Source organism: Homo sapiens, chromosome 3, assembly GCF_000001405.40.
Source record: "Homo sapiens chromosome 3, GRCh38.p14 Primary Assembly".
In the NCBI taxonomy this organism is placed as follows: Eukaryota; Metazoa; Chordata; class Mammalia; order Primates; family Hominidae; genus Homo; species Homo sapiens.
In genome coordinates this window covers 125,411,771-125,436,303 of record NC_000003.12, presented here as the reverse complement: position 1 = coordinate 125,436,303, position 24,533 = coordinate 125,411,771, and the positions used below count along the sequence as shown (strand labels likewise).

The window sequence follows — 24,533 nt, the reverse complement described above, 5'->3', positions numbered from 1 at the left end:
TGTAGTCCCAGCTACTCTGGAGGCTGAGGCAGGAGAATCACTTGAATCCGGGAGGTGGAGGTTGCAGTGTGCCAAAATTGCGTCACTGCACTCTAGCCTGGGTGACAGAGCAAGACCCTACCTCAAAAAAAAAAAAAAAAAGAAAAAAGAAATGTTATATTAGATACAATAATGACAATAAATGCATGTCAAGTGTGCCTGGTAGGTATGTGCTAGGTAAATAACGTTGGCTATTGTTCAATGGAGTAAGGGATCTGGGACATCTCACAGAATCATGGAATGTTATTGCTGGTGGTCCCATAAGATCATAGGCTAGTTCTCTTAAATAACCAAATAGCTTGCTTTACCCACTTGAATGAAAACAACAAATTATTTTTTAAGGTCTAAAGAAGTGACTCCATGTTCCCAACACACTAATTATTTAAAATGTCCTTTTTACAAGGAGTGGTCTCTGTTAAAAAAAAAAAAAAAAAGTCCTCACTGGAACTCCTCCCATAGTCAATCTAGGGAACCCTGGGTGCTTCCTAGTCATGGTTACTTCACCTCCCTGAGAAGAAACAAAGAGGCCTAAAAGGCCACTCTTTGTCGTGGCTGCGGCCAACAAGCAGTTGGCCAATAGTGCACCATGTCCACTTGGGAACTGTCTTGAGGGCGGGGACCTTGTCTCCGCAGGAAGCTTCCAGGCTACTGAGACCTGCCTCTCATGCCACAGTGGTTTCTCGGGGCTCAAAATGGGGACAAGGACTCCTCTGCACGGTTGTAGTTAGCCTAGACCTAGCCTGGGCTCCATGGCCACAGAGTTTTGGAGACTGAGCTCTTTGAACTCATGCACACACAATGGGTCACAAGCCAGGCCCCAACCAGCTTGAGCCAGTTCTCCCCATGATTCAGGAGAAGGAGCTCCAAGAACTCTTGGCATCACCTTGAAGTGAGAGGCTGTCCCTCACTGCAGTTGCCAGCAAAAACCAAAATGGCCACTCAGTGATGCCACAAGTCTCCCTTCTAACTAAACAGGACCAGCTCACCCCAGGCCAGAGCTGGTTCCTGTCCTTCCAGCACCTCCAAGTCCAATTCCCAAAGCCCCAGAGCGGGTCCTTCCTCTCCTGTCCCAAGGGCCGTCTCATTTCCTGTCCTGATTCCTCTTCCCAGCAGGGCCTCCCATTTCCCTGAGGAGAAACCACCCTGCTGTTACCCTCATAGGTATTTAGATGAGAAAACTGAAGCCTGAGAGAGGAAAGGTAACTTTGCCAAATGCACGCAGCTGGTTAGCAGGTGAAACCACATGTCCTGACACCAACTTTAAGCACTTTCCCCAACCATAGTGGGCCCAGATTCAAATAGGGACATTGGGAGGAAGAGGTATGGGTCAGGGGTTAGAGGTCAGGGGTCAGACAGGTGGGTAAAATCAGGGTGTTGAGGAGAGTGGTGCTGGCAGCTGAGTGAGTCTGCAATTGGTAACGGGTGGAAATGAGTAAGGGCCGATGCCCCCGGGATGCTGGGTTTTCATTTTAGAAGGAACTTCCCTTATGAGCTGTGCAATTAGGTTTTCAATGAATCAGAAATACTTTTTTGAGGATTAGAAGGAAATACCCAGTGCTGGCCCACAGGCTGTAGGGCTGTTTAAAAACGAAAACCAAAACCATAAAGCCCGGGCTATGAATTTCAGTCATTTGCACGTGAGCTGCCATTAATTTGTAGATTCTCTTTTAGAGCACTAACTAGGTGCACATAAAATTAAATTAACTAATTAACACAAATGTCTGCAACTGCTCTCAGGGTGATCACTCACGGAGGGAGCACACCTAGTAACTTTCAGACCAAGTTCTCCTTTTCCCAGACAGCTGCATAAATGTGGGGCTACAAAAAGCCCAAAGACGAACATGAACTCAACAACGCCATCCCAGAAGCCCCCATGCAGATGATGGGGCCAACAGAGCAATATGCTATCAGTGCTGACCTTGCTAAGGCCTGACCCCTCACTCCTGGAAAATCTTAGACCCTTTCTTAGGATACTCTTTCCTGATTGGAACGGGGAGCAGCGTAGAATACCTGCATCAAGATGCTTGGATACAGGTGAGCAATGAGGGAATTTACTACAACTTGGAAGTGGAGTGCCTCGGGGTTGCAGGGTCAGGCAATCCAGCTGCCCAGAGCATTTCATCATAGACTCTGAGAGAAGAAATCTAGAGAAGAGAGCTGTTGCTTGAGGTGCCAGCTCCTTCTACCTTCAGGCGGTGAATCTCCAAGTGTGGTACTCCAAGTGTGGTACTGGGCCAGCAGAATCTGCTCCACCTGGGATCTTGTTAGAAAGGTAAATGCTCAGCCCCAACCAGACCTGCTGACTCAGAAATGGGGTGGGGCCCAGCGCTCTGCGTTTTAACAAGCACTCTGGGTGATTTGGATGCAGGCTCCAGTTTGAGAATCTCTGCCCTAAGGCATCCTGGGGCTGTAGTATTAACAATAATAGTTTTGTGGCTAAGGGTGTGGACTTTCCGCAGACAGATCTGTAATCCCAATGCTGGCTTTGCTTTGGGCGGGTCTTGGGTGAGACCAAGGGTGCAGACTGGAAGGAGGCCCATGCTCTCTGGGTCACACAGACAGATGGGCACCCGACAGCGAGGGCCTCACCTGTCTCATCCCAGTCCCAGCCCTGTCTTCCTACTGGAGAGGTGTGTGACCTTGGACCCCACAGAACTAAGGTCTGGTTCTGTTGTTCTGCAGGCGGGGCCTGGGAATGTGCATTTTAAGAGCTCCCCAGTTATTCTGATCCGCCAACCTTGGAAATTGCTGAGTTATCCTCTCTGAATCTCCGTTTTCTAACTTGTAAAAAGGGGTAACGTAAAAAGGGGTATCTGTAAAGCACTAATTAGGGAAAAGGAATGAGGCTGGCGGGATCAGGGGAAAGCAAAAAGAAAAAGCAGATAAGCTATGAGTCTGCCTTTCTTCATGGACCAGGACACACAGCCCTCCTGTGCAGATAACTCACAATCTTGCTGCACCCAACTATCACCAGACACCTGCAAGTTAGCTCACTGCAACGTTGGTGTTATCAGCACTGCACAAGCCCTCTTCAGCACACAGCACAAGCACCATCCTATAAAGTCTGCAGCAAGCCTTTATCTCCTTGCAGTCAGTTCCTCTCTTGCTAACTTGCCCATTGCTTTCTTGCAGCGTATTTTCATACTTTCTCTAATAAATCTGCCTTTCTTTACCTACAACTGACTTGTTAAATTCTTCTTACTGCCCGCACCGCCAGCCCAGATAGTCACTGATCTGCGACAGTAACAACCCCCCGGGAGTTGTTTTGGGGTTAAATAAAATAGTGAATGTACGGCATTTAGCATTATTCCACAGTGATTGCAAGGGAGCAATAACCAGTGGGCTGGGGGAGTCTCCCAAATACTGGTGGGATCTCGTCCCCAGCTAGTGTCTGGGCTGTTGATACCATCACGAGAAGAAATTCAAGGATGAGTCAGAAAATAGTGAAAATACAGAGATATATTGCAAAGTGAAGGTACACACTCAAGAAAGGGGATTGTGGGCAGACTCAAAAGGGTCACACTAGGAGGTTTGGGATTTCTACCTTTATGGGTTTCTTTAACCAAGCGGTGGAATATTCATGAAAATTCCTGGAAAAAGGTGGAGATTTTTTGAAACTGTGGTGCTACCCATTTTTATACTAAATATGGGTGTTCTGGGAACTGTCATGGCACTGGTGGGTGTCTGATTTGTGTGTTAATGAGCAGATAATGAGGTTCTAGGAGAAATCTAGGTCAAATCCAGCGCCATGTTGGGTCCAGTCAGTCTTAGCCAGCTTGGTCCACATGCTGGTTTTCAGTGTTTTATCAGTCCCTAGTTTCTGCAGCTATTTCAACAGTTTCCTTTTGGTTAGTCATGTGAAATTGCTGCCTGGAATTTTCTCCTCTCCTGCGACCACCCTGTATTATAACTTTCTCAGGAGGAATTCCCTGGGTTGTAGTGTGGGGCTGCCAAAAGGGCCTGGGTTCATCCCAGCATTTTTGTGATCTTGATCCACCTTAGCCTTTCAGCCTGTGGGCAAGGAGGTGTGAGGGTTTGGCAACCCTTTTCTTACTGGGAATCTGGTTTCAGATTCCTTTGGTAGGTGGGATGGTCTGAGGCCTCTCCAGAAGAGAAGCTTCAAGTTGTCTGACCTAATGACATTCTACAGAGGCCTAGGGATACAGTGCAGGCTGTCCACCAAGCCCAAGCAGGAAAGTCAGTGTTGCTGTTGACTTGAAACATGAGTCAAAATGAAAGGAGAGTGAGAGCAAACATTTGTGGAATACCAGCTCAGCACAGATTCACTCACGCTCTTCATTTCATTGAACTCTCCTAACAATCTGTGAAGTAGGTATAATTATTTATTATCGTCCTCCACATTTTACAGATGAAGACACTGAGGTTCAGAGTGGCTCACCTGCTCCAAAGCCAGGTTCTTTGCCTTGCACTGGTGGTGTTCAAATCGTGTTCTGCAGAACCCAGGGCATTTATGTCATTTTAGGGGTCACTATGGGAGGCAGGAAACAGTCCCCAGGTCTCTTCAACTGGGGCATAGCCTCTAGCTAGTTTAAACCTTCAAATAAAATTCTGCCAGGATTTTTCAGTATTGAAAAAAATTTTGAAAAATTATTGCTCTGTGCAATATGCCTGAAGTCTAGCCAATCCTGGACTCAGTGTCATGCGATCTGAATGTGAGGTTCTTGGGACTTCAGATTTAACTGAGGACTAATGTGAAAGATATTTGACATCTAAGTGATCATGAAACAGAGTTCCCATACCTCCTACATTTTTTTTTTTAATAACTGAGATAAGGTCTTGCTATTTGCCCAGTCTGGTCTAAAACTCCCGGGCTCAAGTGATCCTCCTGCCTTGACCTCCCAAAGTGCTGGGATTACAGGCGTGAGCCACCATGCCCAGCCAATACACCTTAAATTTTAAAAAGAAAATTTAAAGAACCAGTTCCACATCTTTTGTACTTTGCAGGCATATCGGGGATATAAAAAGGCAGTAGACTGTGGAGAGGGAGAATGCCTTGCAGAGAGATTTCCTTGGAGAGATCTGTGGCCATGCTGAATCCCCCGTTCCCGCTAGTGGGACGGAAGGGAGGTGCTATCTACTGTGCCTAAAACCTAGTGGGAAAGGCTTCCAAGTGTCAACTGAAAAATGGAGATTCATACATTTGGAAAGGAGAATTTCATTTCTCATAAAGTGTTGCAGCCTGCAGAGTGGCCATGTTGACAGGCCGGGAAGTGTAGCCTCCAACCAGAAGCTGGAAACAGACACTTTGAGGGTGGGAAGAATAAGACAGGGATTTATGCTGACCAAGGTGGCCAAATCTACATATTCAATAAGCTATAGGAGGAGTCATGAATATTTATGAAAGGAGAAGTGTATGCATGTTCAATTGAGCTTCATGCCCCTTCATGTGTCCCTTGTACAAAAAATGTCAGCCTTAGCATGACCTGAGGGTGGAGTTTACGGTCCTCTGATATCAAAATGTGAAGCAGAGGACACAAAAACCCTCTGTGCGTGTCCTCTGTAGACTGGCAAGGTTGGGGGTCCCTTATTAAACAGAAAAGGAGGGGCAGTGTCAGGCGGTTGGTTAATATCAGTAGAGGAGCCTTTTTTTTTCTTTCCTCTAGAAAAACCAGAAAAAAATTGATGGAATCTTTTGAAAGGGCTGGCTTCAGTTTAGCCCTTAGGGAAGAAAACCATTAGGCAGTTAGTGGGGAAGCGGATATAACAAGGCGTGTTCAACCTCCCATCCTGCCAGAGCAGGCAACTCAGATTCCAAAGTTTCTCTGGGGTTCCCTTGGCCAAGAGATGGTTCATTCAGTTGGGGGTGCTTGGAATTTTATTTCTCATATGGGGCTACTTGCAGAGCTTACCAAGTGTTTCAGTTACCTGTTGCTGCAAACACACACACACACACAACTACAAAAATTAGTGCCTTAAAACAGTAATTATTGGCCAGGTGCAGTGGCTCACGCTTGTAATCCCAGCACTTTGGGAGGCCGAGGCAGCGGGAAGATCACCTGAGGTCAAGAGTTCTAGACTAGCCTGACCAACATGGTGAAACCCCATCTCTACTAAAGATACAAAAATTAGCCAGGCATGGTGGCACACCCCTGTAGTCCCAGCTACTTGGGAGGCTGAGGCACAAGAATCACTGGAACCCAGGAGGCAAAGGTTGCAGGGAGCCAAGATTATGCCACTGCACTCCAGCCTGGGCAACAGAGGAAGGCTCCATCTCAAAAAAAGAAAAAAAAAAAAAAAACAACCACCAATTATTGATTTGCTCACAATTTTACAATTGGGTTCAGTGGGGACAATTTGTCTCTGCTCCACATGGTGTGGGCTCCACAATGGCTACCTCACATTTGGTGCTGGCTGATGGCTGGAAGGTTGGCTGGGATTGTTGGCTGAGGGGCTTGGCCCTTCCACATGTGGCTGCCTGGGCTTCCTCACAACATGGAGGCTGGCTTCCAACCGGGAGGAGTGAGAAGCTGCCAACCCTCCTGAGAATGAAAACAAACTTTTAATCTGGGGAATGTGAATCTCCTCTAAACTGTCAGGCCCAGAGAGGCATAGGAATGAGGCAGCCGTTGTGTCCCACATCCCCCTTGAGCTAAGCTGCTTGTAGTGTGGGCTCTAGACTGCCTGTCACCAAAAGTAGTTATAAACTTCTTTATCTTTTTTTTTTCTTTTTTCTTTTTTTTTTTTTTTGAGAGGGAGTCCCACTCTGTTGCCCAGGCTGGAGTGCAGTGGCACGACCTTGGCTCACTGCAACCTCTGTCTCCCAGGTTCGAACGATTCTCCTGCCTCAGCCTCCTGACTAGGTGGGATCATAGGCATGTGCCACCACGCCTGGCTAATTTTTGTATTTTTAGTAGAGATGGGGTTTTGCCATGCTGGCCAGGCAGGTCTTGAACTCCTGACTTCAGGTGATCCACCCACCTCGACTTCCCAAAGTGCTGGGATTACAGGCGTGAGCCACCCTGCCTGGCCTAAAAGTAGCTATAAATTAATCTAACAATTTGGCACACTGGACACCATCACTCATACTCTATGGCTCAACAATGTATGTCCAAACACCAATCAATCTTATTTCTGTAAACCAATGAGAATTCCTGACAAGCAGCTTTGTATCAGCTCACTCCTTGTCACCTTTTTTTGCCTTTAAAAGCCTGCTTGTAACAAAGGTTGAACAGAGCTCAGCTCCACGGTTTCTTGGGACTGAGTCTTCGAGGTTCTCATCTTAGCTCAAATAAAATAAAAGATCATATTTTGTGCATCAGCCTCTTCCTTTAGGTCAACACTCTTAAAGGCTAGAAGTGGTGCAGACTCACTTCCACCACACGCTGTTGGTTAAGCAGCCACGGTCTAGCTCAGATTCAAGGGGGGGTGTTATAGACTCCACTTCTGGATAGCTGGGTGCCATGCATGTAACAGAGGGAAGAACTGATGGTGGCTCTCTTTGGAAACAGTGATCACACGATCACACCAGGAGGCCTCTGGTGTTGAGGGGGTGCACAGGAGCCTGGGGCCTGATTCCCTTCTCCAGAGTATGACAGACAGATGAGCTGACTTAAGCTTTGTAGGACAGCCAGAAGCTTGCTGGTATCTTAGGATCGTCTCAGATTTCATTTCATTTCATTGGAACAAAGTGTTAAAAGAAAATCCTTAGCCAAATTAAATTTAACAGAATGTAATTGAGCAAAGAATGATTTACGAATCAGGCAGTCCCCTGAGCCAGAGTAGGCTCAGAGAGACTCCAGTGCAACCACGCGGTGGAAGAAGATTTCTGGACAGAAAAAGGAAAGTTACATGCAGAAAACAGATGCGAGGTACAGAAATAGCTGGATTGGTTACAGCTTGGCATTTGCCTTATTTGAACATGGTTTGAACAGTTGGCCCCCTTTGATTTGATTGGTCAAAATTTGGTGATTGGCACAAGAGTAGAATACAGTCTGCTTACACCTTCATTTAGATTATAGTTCACTATGTCCAGAGAAACCTTTAGGCTGAACTTAAAATATGTAACGAGGCAATTTGAGGCTAAACTTGATTGAACAAATCTTCCCTTTTGGTCATCCTTTCAACTGGGAGAGGATGGCCAAAACTTAAGTCATTGATGTCACTATCACTATTGTAACTGTACTTACTTGGTTTTGAAACCTACTGGGAATTAGTAGAACAGTGGGTTTTATAAGGTGGGAACAAGGACTTCAGGCTTTTTTGTAAGACTTAGAGTAGAGGATACCTCCTTGTGCTGGAATGTCCTGTTTATGGGAGAAAAACAAAATCTGGTCTGTTCTAGGGTCTATCATGTTTCCTTAAAGTCTTAGTTTGATTATATCACATTTAGCATGAATAACTCCATTTTGGTTTGATCTGGTCTGATGGGGCCCAGTGCATGAGCTTAGTCCAAAACAATGGCCTCCCATAATTTTGTTTAAAATTTCCCTGCTTTTGGTCAGGTTCTCACTTAGGTGAGAGTGTGACCAAAACTTAGGGCCTTAGCGCCACTCTGTGACCAGTCATTCTGGGTTTCTGGTCTCAGCATGTCATTCGTAGGTTACAGTGCCCTCATGGTCACACAGTTATTTCAGCTCTTGTCAGGAGGATAATACCAAGAGTTTAGAGTATGCTCCCTAGCCAATGTTCCCATGAACCAAACCAATTAAAATCAAATAGATCAAAGAATGAGCTAGATAAAGAGTCTACTCACTTTAACCAAGCAGCCTGTTCATTAATCCCCTACAACTAAATCTCTGTAATACCTGATTTATTTCTCCATGGGCAACAAGAAATGCCAGTAATGGCACAGATGCTACTCTGTTTGGCTAGTAGGTAATCTGGAGCAATTCTATTATTTAGCAGAACTTTCACAAGATAATTTTTTTAACTTTTAAGTTCGGGGGGTACACACAAGAGAATTTAAAGTCTGGCCACATGGTGGCTCACGCCTGTAATCCCAGCACTTTGGGAGGCCAAGACAGGCAGATCTCTTGAGGCCAAGGAGTTTGAGATCAGCCTGGCCAACATGGTGAAACCCCATCTCTACGAAAAGTACAAAAATTAGCCAGGCATGGTGGCACGTGCCTGTAGTCCCAGCTACTCGGGAGGCTGAGGCACAAGGATTGTTTGAACCGGGCAGGCAAAAGTTACAGTGAGCTTAGATCACACCATTGCACTCCAGTCTGGGTGACAGAGTGAGAGTCTGTCTCAAAAAAAAAAAAAAAAAAAAAAAAAAATCTGGTGTGTAACCATAGCTAATACGGTTTGGATTTGTGTCCCTGTCTAAATATCATGTTCAAATTGTAATCCCCAACGTTGGAGGAGGGACCTGGCGGGAGGTGGTTGGATCATGGGGGCAGACTTCCCCCTTGCTGTTTTCATCATAAAGAGTGAGTTCTCATGACATCTGGTTATTTAAAAGTGTATGGCAAAAGTGTATGTGCCATACACCTCACCCTTCTCTCTCTCCCTCCTGCTCTGGCCATGTAAGATGTGCCTCCTTCCTCTTCGCCTTTCACCATGATCATAAGATTCCTGAAGTCTCCTAGCCATATTTCCTGTACAGCCTGTGGAACTGTGAGCCAATTAAACCTCTTTTCTTTATAAATTACCCAGTCTCAGGTAGTTCTTTTTTTTTTTTTTTTTTTTTTTTTGAGACAGAGTTTCGCTCTGTTGCCCAGGCTGGAGTGCAGTGGCGCAATCTTGGCTCACTGCAAGCTCCGCCTCCTGGGTTCACGCCATTCTCCTGCCTCAGCCTCCTGGGTAGCTGGGACTACAGGCGCCTGCCACCACACCCAGCTAATTTTTTGTATTTTTAGTAGAGACAGGCTTTCACCATGTTAGCTAGGATGGTCTCGATCTGACCTCGTGATCCGCCCTGCCTCCCAAAGTGCTGGGATTACAGGTGTGAGCCACCGCACCCGGCCTTAGGTAGTTCTTTATAGCAATTCAAGAATGGACTAATACAATAGCCTTTCCAGTAGAATCTGCTATAGAGCCTATCATGAAGGGTAAATTTCTAATCTTTGCTTCATTTACTCTAAACCATGGGGAAAAGAGACCTAACAAATGATGCCCATCTAGAAAAACAAAGACCTCCTGGCAATGTCCTCTTTAACCCATGGTGTAGGTTAGGAAGAGTGGATCAATGTTATGTTTCTGACTGCTGATGAGGCAACAAATGTACCATTAAAATTTCTCTCTACTTTGGGCCTTCATCTTCCATCTATCGAGGCATAAGATTGTGCATGTATAAAGCTGGTTGCAAAATCCTTCACAAATAAAAGTATACCCCATGAGTGCATACAATAGACCACCTTTTCACTTTTGTTGTTCATAGATGCAAAGCAAAGGGAAAAATTGACAGATAAGAGCCTCATGATAGCAGAGAAGTCTTGATTCATGATCTTGGGGAAAAGCTGTCCAAGTCAAGGATGCTGTCTTCTTCTGGGGAGAAACTTCCCTGGTAAGCTTTACCTTAAGGTTTCCAATGGGCGTACAGTTCCAAGAGTGTAGAAGGGCCTTTCTGAGTTGTGAGATAATGAATCCAAGGTTCAAGGTCCTGAAGTTTTGCTGCAGTGTAGATGGCAAGGGCGGTTTGTTTCTGATGTTCTCAGAACCTGAACTCATCTTCAGGTCCTATATTGTGAAGAAGTTGATTGTCCTAGTCAGAGGACCATGAAAAGCTCTCTTTACCTGGTGAAAATACACTTTGGCATAATGAGCTGCTGTTATAACAGCCCTCTTGCATGGGAAAGCTTTAATATAACCAGAAGACATGCATTGAAAATGACAATCAGGCCAGGAACAGTGGCTCACACCTGTAATCCCAGCACTTTGGGAGGCGGGTGGATCACCTGAGGTCAGGAGTTTGAGACCAACCTGGCCAACATGGTAAAATCCTATCTTTACTAAACATACAAAAATTATCCAGTCATGGCTGCACACGCCTGTAATCCCAGTTACTCAGGAGGCTGAGGTGGGAGAATTGCTTGAATCCGGGAGGCAGAGGTTGCAGTGAGCTGAGATCATGCCACTGCACTCCAGCCTGGACCACAGAGTGAAATTCCATCTCGAAAAACAAAGAAAATAACAATCAGACTGGGCATGGTGGCTCATGCCTGTAATCCTAGCACTTTAGGGGGCTGAGGCAGGCAGACTGCTTGAGCTCAGGAGTTTGAGACCAGCCTGGCCAACATGGTGAAACCCTGTCTCTACAAAAAAAAAAAAAAAAAAAAAATTAGCTGGGCGTGGTGGCACATACTTGTAGTCTCAGTTACTCAGCAAGCTGAGGCAGAAGGATTGCTTGAACCTGGGAGGTGGAGGTTGCAGTAAGCTGAAATTGTGCCACTGCCCTCCAGCCTGGGTGACAGAGTAAGAGATGCTGTTAATAATAATAATAAGAAAATGGCAATTGAATGAAATCCCGCTATAAATGATTAAATGCCCATCAGATAGCAGAAATGTATCTGAAGTTTTGATTGTCTCACCAGGAATGTGGGTTTGCCAAACCAAATATTGGTTATAAGCTATTTCTGGAATTTATTTATTCTTTATATTTTATAGAGACAGGGTCTCACTATGTTGCCCAGGCTGGCCTCGAAGTCCTGGGCCTGTGATAGTTCCACTATGGCCTCCTAAATTGTTGGGATTACAGGTGTGAGCCACTGTGCCCAGCCTTTTTTTAGAAATTTGGAACAGTCACCACACCAATATCTATATTTAATTTGGATCATTTTATCTCTTCCATGATGAGTCACAAAATGCAGAGATTTTAATAACGAAAGCTTTAAGGACTCAGGAAGGACAAGGAAGCTATCCAGAGTCTCCATGAGTCCATACTTAACACCGGTCTTAGGTCCTCTTAATTACCAGTTATTTTTCCAATTTAGGTGCATAGCACTGATAACTGGTGGGTTATCATAGGTAATTTGACTTGGACCATGTAGTTCATTCAAATTGTATATCTAAATAATTTCTGATTTAGTGTGAAAATCTGGCAAAGTATTTTCTTGGTATTCAATTAGTTTTTGTCCTGCTTGGTTTGGCAGCTTCATGAACCAGTCACTCTCTTTATTAGAGTTCTGGGAATTCTTACTCAGTCCAAATGATATGATCTAAAGTTATCAGAAATCTGTATTCAAGAGTGCTTTTCACAATCCTTTCCATCCTTTCATGAACCTCCTTAAAGACTCAATACTCAGCCAGGCACAGTGGTTCATGCCTGTAATCCCAGCATTTTGTGTGGCCAAGGCAGGCGGATCAGTTGAGGACAGAAGTTTGAGACCAGCCTGGCCAACATAGTGAAATCCCATCTCTACTAAAAAATACCAACATTAGCCAGGTGTGGTGGCTCACACCTGTACTCCCAGCTACTTGGGAGGCTGAGGTTGCAGTGAGCCAAGATCATGCCACTGCATTCCAGCTTAGGCAACAGAGCAAGACCTTGCCTCAAAAAAAAAAAAAAAAAAAAAAGACTCAGTAGTCTAGGATTTTGCATGCTTCTGAAGTTTTCAGGAAAACTGCACCAGAAGTAAGCAGTTAACTGTGGAAATGACTTTAAATGGTCATAGTTAAAGACACAATTGATACGGAAATTTGGTTATATCTGTGGCCTACAAAAACTTAACATGATGACCATAAGTATGACTGATAGCATATACCCAGACATATTAGAATTTTAGAAATCCCATATAATTTTGGAACAGATATTAATAGCATATTCATTTAAATATAACTTGAAGAAGATTAAACATCTTTTTTTAAACATCATTTCTTATTTGACAGTGCTTCCCATGTAATGTAATATGGAAAATAATCCTGTTTCTCTCTCTTTTGGATATTTCAGGAACCAACTGTAGCATCCCAAAGTTAGAGGTCAAAAAAGACTTAATTTTGAAGCTGATATTTGATTTTGGGAAGCCTATTAAATATGTCAAAGGTTTAAAACACTTGACCAAAATAGCATCACAGGTCACCGTAAAATAATAGTTATTTATTTAGCCAAAGTGATAATTAAAAGATTTCTTAAAAAACCCAAAACCTGTAGTCTTAGATACAGGAGACTCAGTTTTCTGAACAATCAAAAGACCTGAAAAAGACTGTATGAGACAGAATCTGTCTCTTCTCTTCTTTCTTTATTCTTTTTGCAGTTTACTCAAAGGATGAACAAAAATATTTTATTGTCTTATTAATACTACATGACATTTTTGTTCAAAAGAGAAAACAAAATTTTACTTTGGTATTAGTAAACTATCAATACTAAAGCTAATTTTAATATAACCTTACAAATAAATTGATCAAATCTATTATCTTTTAACCATACAAGATTTTTATAAACGTTTTACATTTTACATTGCCCTCCAAACTTTCTTTACTTATTTAGCTTTATCTATTTTTTACTCCTTTAATTTGAAACCTTTTTTTTTTTTTGGTTTCCCAGGCTGGAGTGTGATTCTCCTGCCTCTGCCTCCCAAGTAGCTGGGATTACAGATGTCCGCCACCATGCCCAGCTAATTTTGCATTTTTAGTAGAGACAGGGTTTCTCCATGTTGGTCAGACTGGTCTCAAACTCCTGACCTCAGGTGATCCACCCGCCTCGGCCCCCCAAAGTGCTGGGATTATAGGCATGAGCCACCGTGCTTGGCCCCTAGAAAGTAATTTTGAACTGTTTTATATCAGTATTTGTAGAGAAAAACCATTTTATAATTTTTTAGAAAGATGCTTCTTTGAATTGTTATTAAGAGATCTAAATTTATATTTCACTTTTCTGTATCATATTAATAATTCATATAATAATTCATATTTTAATATTTTAATGTCACTGCAACATCCACCTCCCAGGTTCAAGCAATTTTTGTGCCTCTGCCTCCTGAGTAGCTGGGATTAAGGGATTACAGGCGTGAGCCACTGTGTTCGGCCCTTTTTTTTTTTTTTTTTTTTTAAGACAGAGTCTTGTTCTGTCACCCAGGCTGGAGTGCAACGGTGCTATCTCTGCTCACTGCAACCTCCTCCTCCTGGGTTCAAGTGATTCTCCTGCCTCAGCCTCCCAAGTAGCTGGGATTACAGGTGCCCGCCACCACCCCTGGCTAATTTTTGTATTTTTTAGTAGAGACAGGGTTTCACTGTGTTGGCCAGGCTGGTCTTGAACTCCTGACCTCAAGTGATCTGCCTGTCTTGGTCTCCCAAAATGCTGAGATTACAGGCATGAGGCATCACTTTTGGCTACTATACCTAAGGGATCCAACCTCTCCCAAAATAGCTGGTAAGCAATCAGGGGAAGCAAGGAAGAAGGCGCATACTGGTCTTGCTTCTGACTTGTAGCTGCTGGTCCAGGCACTAAGAGCACCCCTCCAGACCTCAGAATGGCCCGCTATCCAGACTCGTAGAGGCTCTAGACCAGAAACACAAGCTCACAGTCAAATCAAGCATCTAATAATATTTAACTGATCATTTTGAAGCCATTTTTATTTTACCAACAATTTTAAAACTATATTTACCAAATATTATCACACGTCCATAACACATCTAGACACACAAACACATAGAAACAGTCTTAGAGCTGTCATAAAGCTGTCTTTTTTTTATTTGCTGGCTTTTAAATAGCTTTTCTTTTCCCCATTCAGACTATCAATCTTCCAATTATCTGTTTCATTGCCCTAAGGAATTACTAACCAGGCAATAAATTTGCATTTCTAAAGAGACAACTGTTAGGTAAAACAAAAAAATTATATTTCATAAGCACAGAGCTAAGATTTTAGGACTAAATATTATATCATCATTTGCTTAAACCAAGGGAAAAAACAGTGCTCATGTAAAAGTTCAATCCAGGCAAGACGGCCAGAAAAGCACCTTACACAAAGGTATGACTTATTACGTAAACTTAAAACAATGGTAAGAGTTTCTAATGTACCTAGGCAGACACCCTCAAAAATTGAGATTTCCTTAATAAATGTAATTTTTTTTTACAAAAGGGTTTCATGATAGCCAATTAAATTCCAGAAAGCTGTATTTTATTTTATTTTATTTTATTTATTTTTTTGAGACAGTCTCGCTTTGTAACCCAGGCTGGAGTGCAGTGACACCATCTCAGCTCACTGCAGCCACCACCTCCTGGGTTCAAGGGATTCTCATGCCTCAGCCACCCGAGTAGCTGGGATTACAGGTGTGCGCTGCCACACTGGCTAATTTACTTATTTTTAGTAGAGTTGGGGTTTCACCATGTTGGCCAGGCTGGTCTTGAACTCCTAACCTCATGTGATCCACTCGCCTCGGCCTCCCAAAGTGCTGGGATTACAGGTGTGAGCCACCACGCCCGGCCCAGAAAGGTGGATTTTAGTTCAATAAGTGTTCTTTTTAATTTAGCCACTGTTTATTAGCTAAAATTAACTGAGTTCAGGGTGAAGCCCATTAAGGTATAAGGCAAAAAAAGCATGCTCTATATCTGGACTCAGTGTGAATAAATCTGAAAAAGTAGCCTTGCCTCTTATAAACATTTTATCTAGATTAGCTTTCTTTTCACCTTTGGGGTGGGATGGTAACTAAGCTAACAGATTAGCAGATTTAATTTTTCTTATCAGCTAGTTGTTTAAGCTTGTATTTGCTTTTTATAAAGAGTCTTTAAATACAAATATTAAAATCTCTTTAGAAGCTTTTCGGCTGGACGAGGTGGCTCATGCTTGTAATCCCAGCACTTTGGGAGGCCGAGGCGGGCAGATCACTTGAGGTCAGGAGTTCGAGACCAGCCTGGCCAACATGGCGAAATCCCATCTCTACTAAAAATACAAAAATTAGCTGGGTGTGGTGGCGTGCAGCTGTAATCACAGCTATTCGGGAGGCTGAGGCATGAGAATTGCTTGAACCTGGGAGGCAGAGGTTGCGGTGAGCCGAGATCGTGCCATTGTACTCCAGCCTGGGCAACAGAGCGAGAGACTCTGTCTCAAAACAAAACAAAACAAACAAAAAAAACCCCAACTCTTTAGTAGTTTCTGCATATCAGTAGGCACCCCTAGATGAGACTACTTTGGGAGGCCTCATTTTCAAATGCACTTCTTCCAGTGCAGTGTTGTTCATTTGTTTCTTCTTTTTTGTTTTTTAGAGAGATGGGGTCTCACTATGTTGCCCAGGTTGGTCTCGAACTCCTCGACTCAAGCTATCCTCCCAAAAGTGCTGGGATTATGGCCTGAGCCACCACTCCTGGCCCAGCCTTGTTTATTTGGAATGTTCCACTGTAACTTATCTTTAGCTTAAGATTTCACCATTTCCTAAGCCTTTGTTGCTTTCGGGGCCTAATACTTATGCATGTATAAGCTGGAAGGTACTCAATTCTTCAAAAATTAAGGATCCAATTTTTACCTAAAATATTGGCTTTGGCTCTCAGATTCTCTCAACCAACTTTGTCAATGATTTTTCCTTACCTAAGCATGCAAGAAGAAAGAAACATAGGGGGTAGAACACAAAAATCCCCACAAATTTCCAAAAGCTGAAGTTTACACCACATGCAATATTGCCACTTACTACCAGTTTCTTTCTGACCCAGTCAGACGTCTATAAAAGGCCTCTAACTGGATCCAAGCCAGTTATTGACCAGATCCAATTCAATCCTAGACCCAGTCCAATTTCTGTCATGACTTCCAAACCCAGTTTGGATCAGAAATTTGCTCAGACTCAGAGAGCTCAAAACACAAGTTCATGGAGCTTCTGAATCTGAGGGAGAACTTACCACGATCCCCAGTTGCTGTGAGAGAGAGCAATGGACATAGTGGGCCCAGGGGGTACCTCGCTTGGTCACTCAGTGCTCCTAGGGGTTGCTGGAAGCTCTACATCAGATCCCACTTCTGACACCCTCTGTTAAAGGAAAATCCTTGGCCAAATTAAATTTAGCAGATTTAATTGAGCAAAGAGCAATTTGCGAATTGGGCAGCCTCTTGAGCTAGACTCAGAGAGACTCCATCGCAGTGATGTGGTGGAAGAAGATTTTGGGACAGAAAAAAGGAAAGTGACATTCTGTACTGAGGTACAGAAATGGCCCAATTGGTTACAGCTTGGCATTTGCCTTATTTGAACACAGTTTGAACAGTTGGCCCCCTTTGATGGCCAAAACTGGGTGATTGGCACAAGAGTAGAATACATTCTGTTTACACCTTCCTTTAGGTTATTGTTCACTATGTACAGAGAAACCTTTAGGCTGAATTTAAAATATGTAAGGAGGCAGCTTTAGGGTAAACTTGATTTAACAAAAGGGTAGTGTGAATGTTTCTCATGGGTCAAAAAGTGGGCAAAGGCCAGGTCCGGTGGCTCACACCTATAATCCCAGCACTTTGGGAGGCTGAGGTGGGAGGATTGCTTGAGGCCAGGCATTTGAGACCAGCCTTGGCAACATCGCAAGACTCTGTCTCTTCAAAATAAAAAAAATAGCCGGATGTTGTGGCACACACCTATAGTCCCAGCTACTCAGGAAGCTGAGGCGTGAGAATCACTTGAGCCCAAAAATTTTAGGCTGCAGTGAGATATTAATCACGCCACTGCACTCCAGCCTGGGCAATAACGTGAGATCAAGCTGAAGAGCGAACCTTTGAGGCCCACGTAGCAAGAAGCTGGGATTAAAGATGTCACAAGAAACCATTCAGAAATGGATGCACCACCCTGGCCAAGGAATTGTGGAAGAAAGATCCCAGGGACGGGAGTCTCTGAACAATCTACAAAGCATCCAAACAGAAAGTCAGTTTGAATTCTCTGCCAACCCAGAGAGAGCAAAGCCAGCTGGCCAAGTGGCATGTGATCAGCCCCTTACCTCATCTCCTGCCCTTTCCCTCCCCTGGTGATGATGGAAACAGTGCTATGGAAGGGAGAGAGGAGGAGATTGGGTTGGAGGAAGAAGGTGATCGTCACCCCTTTCTCAGAGACAGCAGCATCAACTACAAGTGTCTGCAGCAAGAGAGGGAGAAGCCTTTCCTTCACATGAATACTCAAGAGTTATTTATATGTAACTATTGAATTGAGACTGTCCTTCTGATATAAAGTGACTGAAAGCCTCTCTATGACCTGAAACTGAGCCTGCTGAGCTTTCATTCTGTAGCAGAAGAAACACTTCCCACCCTGACTCACGTTAAAAAGGGTAGTGGGAGACCAGGCGTGGTGGCTCACACCTGTGATCCCAGCACTTTGGGAGGCCAAGGTGGGCGGAGCACTTGAGGTCAGGAGTTCAAGACCAGCCTGGCCAACATGGTGAAACGCTGTCTCTACTAGAAATACAAAAATTAACCAGGTGCAGTGGCATGTGCCTCTAATCCCAGCTACTCGGTAGGCTAAGGCAGGAGAATCACTTGAACCCAGGAGGCGGAGGTTGCAGTGAGTCGAGATTATACCACTGCACTCCAGCCTGGGTGACAGAGTGAGACTCTGTCTCAAAAAAAAAAAAAAAAGGTAATGGGAGGCAAGAAATAGTTTTTTATTTCATCACAAGCCATGCTTGTTCAGCATACAGATATGATCAAGGAATGGTACTACTGCAAACTGTAGACCCAGGACAGCGCATTGCACCCCCACGGCTGGGATGCTGCCACCACCCCAGAGACCCAAAGGCCACAATGTGAAACCCATGAAACCCTAGGATTATGCAGGTCATTCGTTCCTCTGACCCTTCTTTGCTGAGGGCGGAGAGGCTCACCAGAAAGTTCACCAAGATCCTGGGACAGGATTCAAGGTGGAAAGGATTTTAATTTCCCCGAGGGCCTTGTGTCCATCAGATAGAAACGATCTCCAGCCCTCTGGAGTCTCTCCCTGGCCTGGAGGTCTCTTACATTTCTGCCTGCCTGGGTCTCAGGTCTGAAATAACTGCACACCTCCATCTGTGGGCAGCTGCACCCACAGGCCAAGATCTGGATTCCTGGCTGCTGTATTGACAGCTGTGGTTATGGGGTCAAGCAGATTGAGGGTAGTTGGTAGTAAGGAAATGCCAGATATGTTAATAAAATACCCATGAGAGCAGAATCTATTCCTTGGCATGAGAGCAGAATCTCTTGAGGGGAAGGGGCAGCTGGAACATGTGGCTCTAACGTGGAGCTGGAACCTTATCCTCTCCCTAGGAGTCTCTCTTCACCAACCCCAGGCTCCCACACCTGCTTCCTGCTTTGATCCTCTGTCCCAAGGGTGAATATGTAACCTTTTTTCTTACCATCCAGATAGTGGAGACAAGGCTACCCTACTTAAACAAGGTTTTAACAAAAGCTTAAGACATGCAACTGAGAAGAGAACACAGTGATACGAAAGTGGCAGTCTGGGCTGGGCACTGTGGCTCACGCCTGTAATCCCAGCAGTTTAGGAGGCTGAGGTGGGAAGATTGCTTGAGCCCAGAAGTTTAAAAGACCAGCTTGGGCAACATAGTGAGACCCCATCTACCAAAAATTAAAAAAATTAGCCAGGTGCGGTGGCACACACCTGGTGTCCCAGCTACTTGGGAGGCTGAGGCGGGAGGATCACTTGAGCCCAGAGGATCAAGGCTGCAGTGAGCCATGGCCACATCCCTGCACCCCAGCCTGCGCAACAGAGCAAGAACCTGTCTCAAAAAAAAAAAAAAAAAAAAAGGAAAATCTGGCTCACAAGGCAGGGCTTGCTTTGTGACTCTCTCCAGAGGTCCCTCTCTCTCTTCTGTACCTCCAAAATCCACAGGCTGACACCACCTTGACTCCCTCTACTAAGGCAGTCGAAAGTTGGGACAATGAGGCCAGTAGAAGGAAGTGGATTCCCCACTGCAACTTGCTGAGGGCCTCATTTAATGATCCAGGTCCTTAGGTGAAGGATCTCCTCTTACCAGGGTATTAGTCCGGGAATGACGTCACTTCAGGGAAGTCCCACAGGTTGGGCTGCCCCTGTTCCCACCCCCAAGGATTTCTGGATGGGGGTTCTGTGGTATAATATAGAGTATCCTTGGTCTTTGCCTAGATTCCTGTCACAGAACACCTAAAACCCTTGGAGTTTCCTAACAGGAGTGTCTTTTGTTATTCTTTATTTCTTTTCTTTTTCCTTTGTTCTTCTTTTTTTTTTTTTTTTTTTTTTTTTTTGAGACAGAGTCTTGCTCTGTTGCCCAGGCTGGAGTGCAGTGGCACAAACGAACATGGCTCACTGCGGCCTCGACCTCCTGGGCTAGAGCAATCCCTCTGCCTTGGTCTCTCAAGTAGCTGGAACTACAGGCACACACCACCATGCCTGGTTAATTTTTGTATTTTTGAAGAGATGGGGTTTCTCTATGTTGTCCAGGCTGGTCTCGACCTCCTGAGCTCAAGGGACCCTCCCACCTTGGCCTCCAAAAGCGCTGGGATTATAGGCATGAGCCACTGAGTCTGGTCCCTTTGTTATTCTTAATGAGCCCCCTTTCATCACACCCACGGACAGCACTCTACAAGTCTTGCTCATGAAGGATGTGACCTCCAATTTCGGGAGAATACATCTTTCCCCAAATGATCTTGTGCCTTCCATCCAACCTTAAACACCTATGGACAGCCTGGCCCAGCCCTAAATCTAGCCAGAGGAGTTGCACACCAGCCCTCTGCCATTTAGAGCTGCCTTAACCCACCCTGGACTTTTGAAAGCCAAAAGTCCTAGCCAGAGAAAGGGCCAACTGAATAGGGACTGAGTTTCCAGGATAAATGATTCAATGTGCAGAAGTTCCTAGAGATGCTTGCTCTCTCAGGGAACTTGTGGCAAATGGGGGGTTTCAAACCTCTCATTTAGAGCCCTGTGATTGTAGTGAGGTCAGCCCTGCCAAGTGCCTGCCACCCAGACATGCTCTCCCTGGGACTTTAGGTAGGTCATGACCAATCATGAGCCCTAGAGCTTAAAAGATCCTTTAGCTCTTGCCTAATGTGGTCACCCCTGTCTGTACAGGAAGTCCTACTCACAAATGTTCGCAAGGCAATTTCAAAAACACCTGTCAACCAAAGCTTACGTAGACCCTCTTCTCTATATGTTAGAAGAATATATGATGTTCTTTCTATTCCAGGACGTATAACATTGGAAAGAAGCAATTTACTCATCTAGACTTGGAGAGTCTGGCTCAACATCAAATTAAAATCATGGTATGTCTGTGAAGGGTGGGGATTAGGTGGGGAGGTCCAGGGTAGCTTGCCGAGAGATACTCAAATAGGGTAAATACAGCCCATCCACCCGGAGCACCAATTTTTTAGAAGTTTTAAGGGGGAAAACACATTTTTATCTATAAACACATTATGAAACAGACTGTAAAATTCACATGAATTTTAAATATAAATTGCAAATTTTCAAAGAAATTTTTAGCTTACAGCTGGCCTTTTTGGGCTACAACCTCTTCTCACCCACCCCCAGCTGGTGTTCACGTGAGGGTGCTTTTGTGCAAAGCTGGAGAAGCACGGGATGTGAAGGGCCTTGCTGGAGGCAGAGCTCTGCAGATGAACCAGAAGACCGCACCCGAACCCCCGTTCAGCTGCGAGGCATAAACGCCTTCCCCTGGTTAGGAGCTGATGCCTCACTGTGAGCTTGGATGGCAAGTTCATAGAGGCCATCCACACGAATGGGTTTAATGGGATTTCTTTATCAATTGTTTAAAGAGAGTCTTTAGCGTCCCTCAATACCCTTTCCAGGAGGATACACAGAATAAATTCCTGCTTGACTTTTAGATCCCAGATAAAACTACTCCCGCAGAAGAATTAGAATTTCTTTGTCATATTGGACAATAAAAATTATGTAACTTACTGTGTTTCTTTGTGCTTCATTGCCAGACATCTTAGAAGCAAATCTCTTAGTCTTTTAATATGTTTGGTCCTGGTGCTGGAAAATGCCTGCTTCTTCTGTCACCTTCAGATGGACTCTGCTTTCCCACTCCTGTATGTCATGTCCTGTTCTGGGCTGTAAATAGCCAGCCCAGGAAGCAAGCAGGGCACACATTTTAACATATATATTTTTTCAATCAACTTTTAAATGACCATGACCAATTTACAACCAAAATTCACAAACAAGGCAAAAAACTATTAACACAGACTCTAAGACAAGTCAAGCATTAAAGAGAAACAGCTGATTTATTTATGTATTAATTTATTAATTCATTTATTTATTTGAGATGGAATTTCACTCTTGTTGCCCAGGCTGCGATCCAATGGCACGATCTTGGCTCACTGCAACTTCTGTCTCCTGGGTTCGAGCGATTCTCCTGCCTCAGCCTCTGGAGTAGCTGGGATTTCAGGTGCCCACCACCACGCCCAGCTAATTTTTTTTTTTTTTTGTATTTTTAGTAGAGACAGGGTGTCACCATGTTGGCCAGGCTGGTCTCGAACTCCTAACCTCAGATGATCCACCCACCTCGACCTCCCAAAGTGCTGGGATTACAGGTGTGAGCCACTGCGCCCGGCCAGTATTTTTTAAGAAAGGAAAATCTATGCAAATTTACATTGTTTTACTATTTTTAAAAAATGCCGGCTGGAGGAGGTTCACACCCTAATCCAAGCACTTTGGGAGGCTGAGTTGGGAGGATCACTTGAGCCCAGGAGTTCGAGACCAGCCTGGGCAACATAGTGAGACCACCATCTTTACAAAAAATAAAAAATTGAGGTGAACGTGGTGGCTCGAGCCACCTGCAGTCCCAGCTGCTTGGGAGGCTGAGGCAGGAGGATTGCTTGAGCTGAGGATGTTGAGGCTGCAATGAGCTGTGATTGTGTCACTGAACTCCAGCCTGGGTGACAGAGTGGAAAAAAACTTTTTTAATGCTGCAGTGAGTACCTATGTGCATAATTTTCTGATTGGCTCTTTAAGATATATTTCTGGAAGTGAAATTATTGCCCATGTGGTGTGACTATTTCCAAGGACAAATTAATTTTCCATGTCTGTTATGATGCTGTGAGTTGCAAGAAAGGCAGCGTAGCACAGTAGCTAGAATCTGTGGACTCTGGACTGCCTGGATGCAAATTCTGGTTCCACTACTGAGTAGATTTAAAAGCAGACTGTCTACCCTCGAATTCACCTCAGGAGCTAATGGTAAATATAAGAATCTACTCAGCAAAACGTAGAATAGAAAAGAAAGAGCAAGGGAATATAAAAACTAGAAAGCATAAAAGAAAATGAAAGAAGCAAACCCAAATAAAACCATTATGAATATAAATGTAGATGAGTTAAACTTGCCTAGTAAAAGACAATGATTCTCAAACTGGGTCAAAAGTCAAATGAGACTGAATGCTTTCTCACCTTCAGTTAACTCACTCTTTATGGCTAGGTGCAGTTGGGCACATCTGTAATCCCAGCACTTTGGGAAGCTTGGGGCGGACCACTTGAGCCCATGAGTTCGAGACCAGCCCTCCCTGGCACCGTAGCAAGAACCTGTCTCTACAAAAATCAAAAGAAAATAGTAAAACAAATAGCCAGGTGTGGTGGTGCATGGCTGTAGACCCAGCTCTCAGGAGGCTGAGGCAGGAGGATCCCTTGAGCCCAGGCGTTTGAGGCTGTGATGAGCTATGATCATGTCATTGCTCCATCCTGGGCAATAGAGTGAGACCTTGTGTCTAAAAAATACAAACAAAACCCCCTAATTATTTACCATAATATCTGGTCACCACACCCAGTTTACCACGGCCACTCACTGCTTTTATCATGGTGACCAAGGTCATTTAGGTGGTCACTAAATCTAGTGGAATCTTTTCAGCCCTTGTCTTTCTTAACCTCTTGGAAAATATTTGATGCTATTAGCCACACCTTTCCTCTTAACGCAAGCCATTCTCCTGGCTTCTTCTTCTTCTTTTTTTTTTTTTTTGAGATGGAGTGTTGTTTTGTCACCCAGGCTAGAGTGCAGTGGCGTAATCTTGACTCACTGCAACCTCTGCCTCCCGGGTTCAAGTGATTCTCCTGCCTCAGCCTCCCAAGTAGCTGGGACTACAGGCACCACACCTGGCTAATTTTTGTATTTTTAGTAGAGATGGGGTTTCACCATGTTGGCCAGGCTGGTCTCCAACTCCTGGTCTCAAGTAATTGGCCTGCCTCGGTCTCCCAAAGTGCTGGGATTATAGGTATGAACCACTGTACTCAGCCTTACTGGCTTCTTAAAGTTGCATGCTCTCTGGAATTCTTTTCTCTGGAAAAGCAGCAATTGGAAAGAAGCAATTTATTCATCTAGACTTGGAGAGTCTTTTAAAAGTCTTTTTCCTTTGCCCATCCCTTAAATGTTAGTGCTGCTCCTCAGGGTTCTCTCCTAGGTGCTTTTCTGTCTCCCTGTATATATGCTTTCTGGAAGCTCTCAACCATTCTCAAAGTTTGCATTATAACCCATATACTGATGTATCCCAAGTCTAGAATTCCAGCCCAGACCTCTTTCCTGGGCTCCAGATCTGTATAGCCAAATGCATAATGGATATTTTCATTTAGGAGTTTTGTAGGAACCTCAAACTCAGCATTACCCAGCTGAACTCATAATTTCTTCTATATGTTTCTGCCGTTACTAGTAAATGGCACCACCTGGTTTTCTAAAGTCAGACACC

The 24,533-nt window shown here is 44.3% G+C and overlaps 1 long non-coding RNA gene across 1 annotated transcript; it reads left to right on the top strand.

Moving 5' to 3' along the window:
- The first annotated feature begins 10,172 nt into the window (after nt 1–10,172).
- On the top strand, nt 10,173–21,465 carry LOC105374081 (uncharacterized). Its single transcript, XR_924428.4, has 3 exons — nt 10,173–10,507; nt 21,041–21,116; nt 21,382–21,465. It is a non-coding gene; the product is annotated as an uncharacterized LOC105374081 (long non-coding RNA).
- The last annotated feature ends 3,068 nt before the right edge of the window (nt 21,466–24,533 follow it).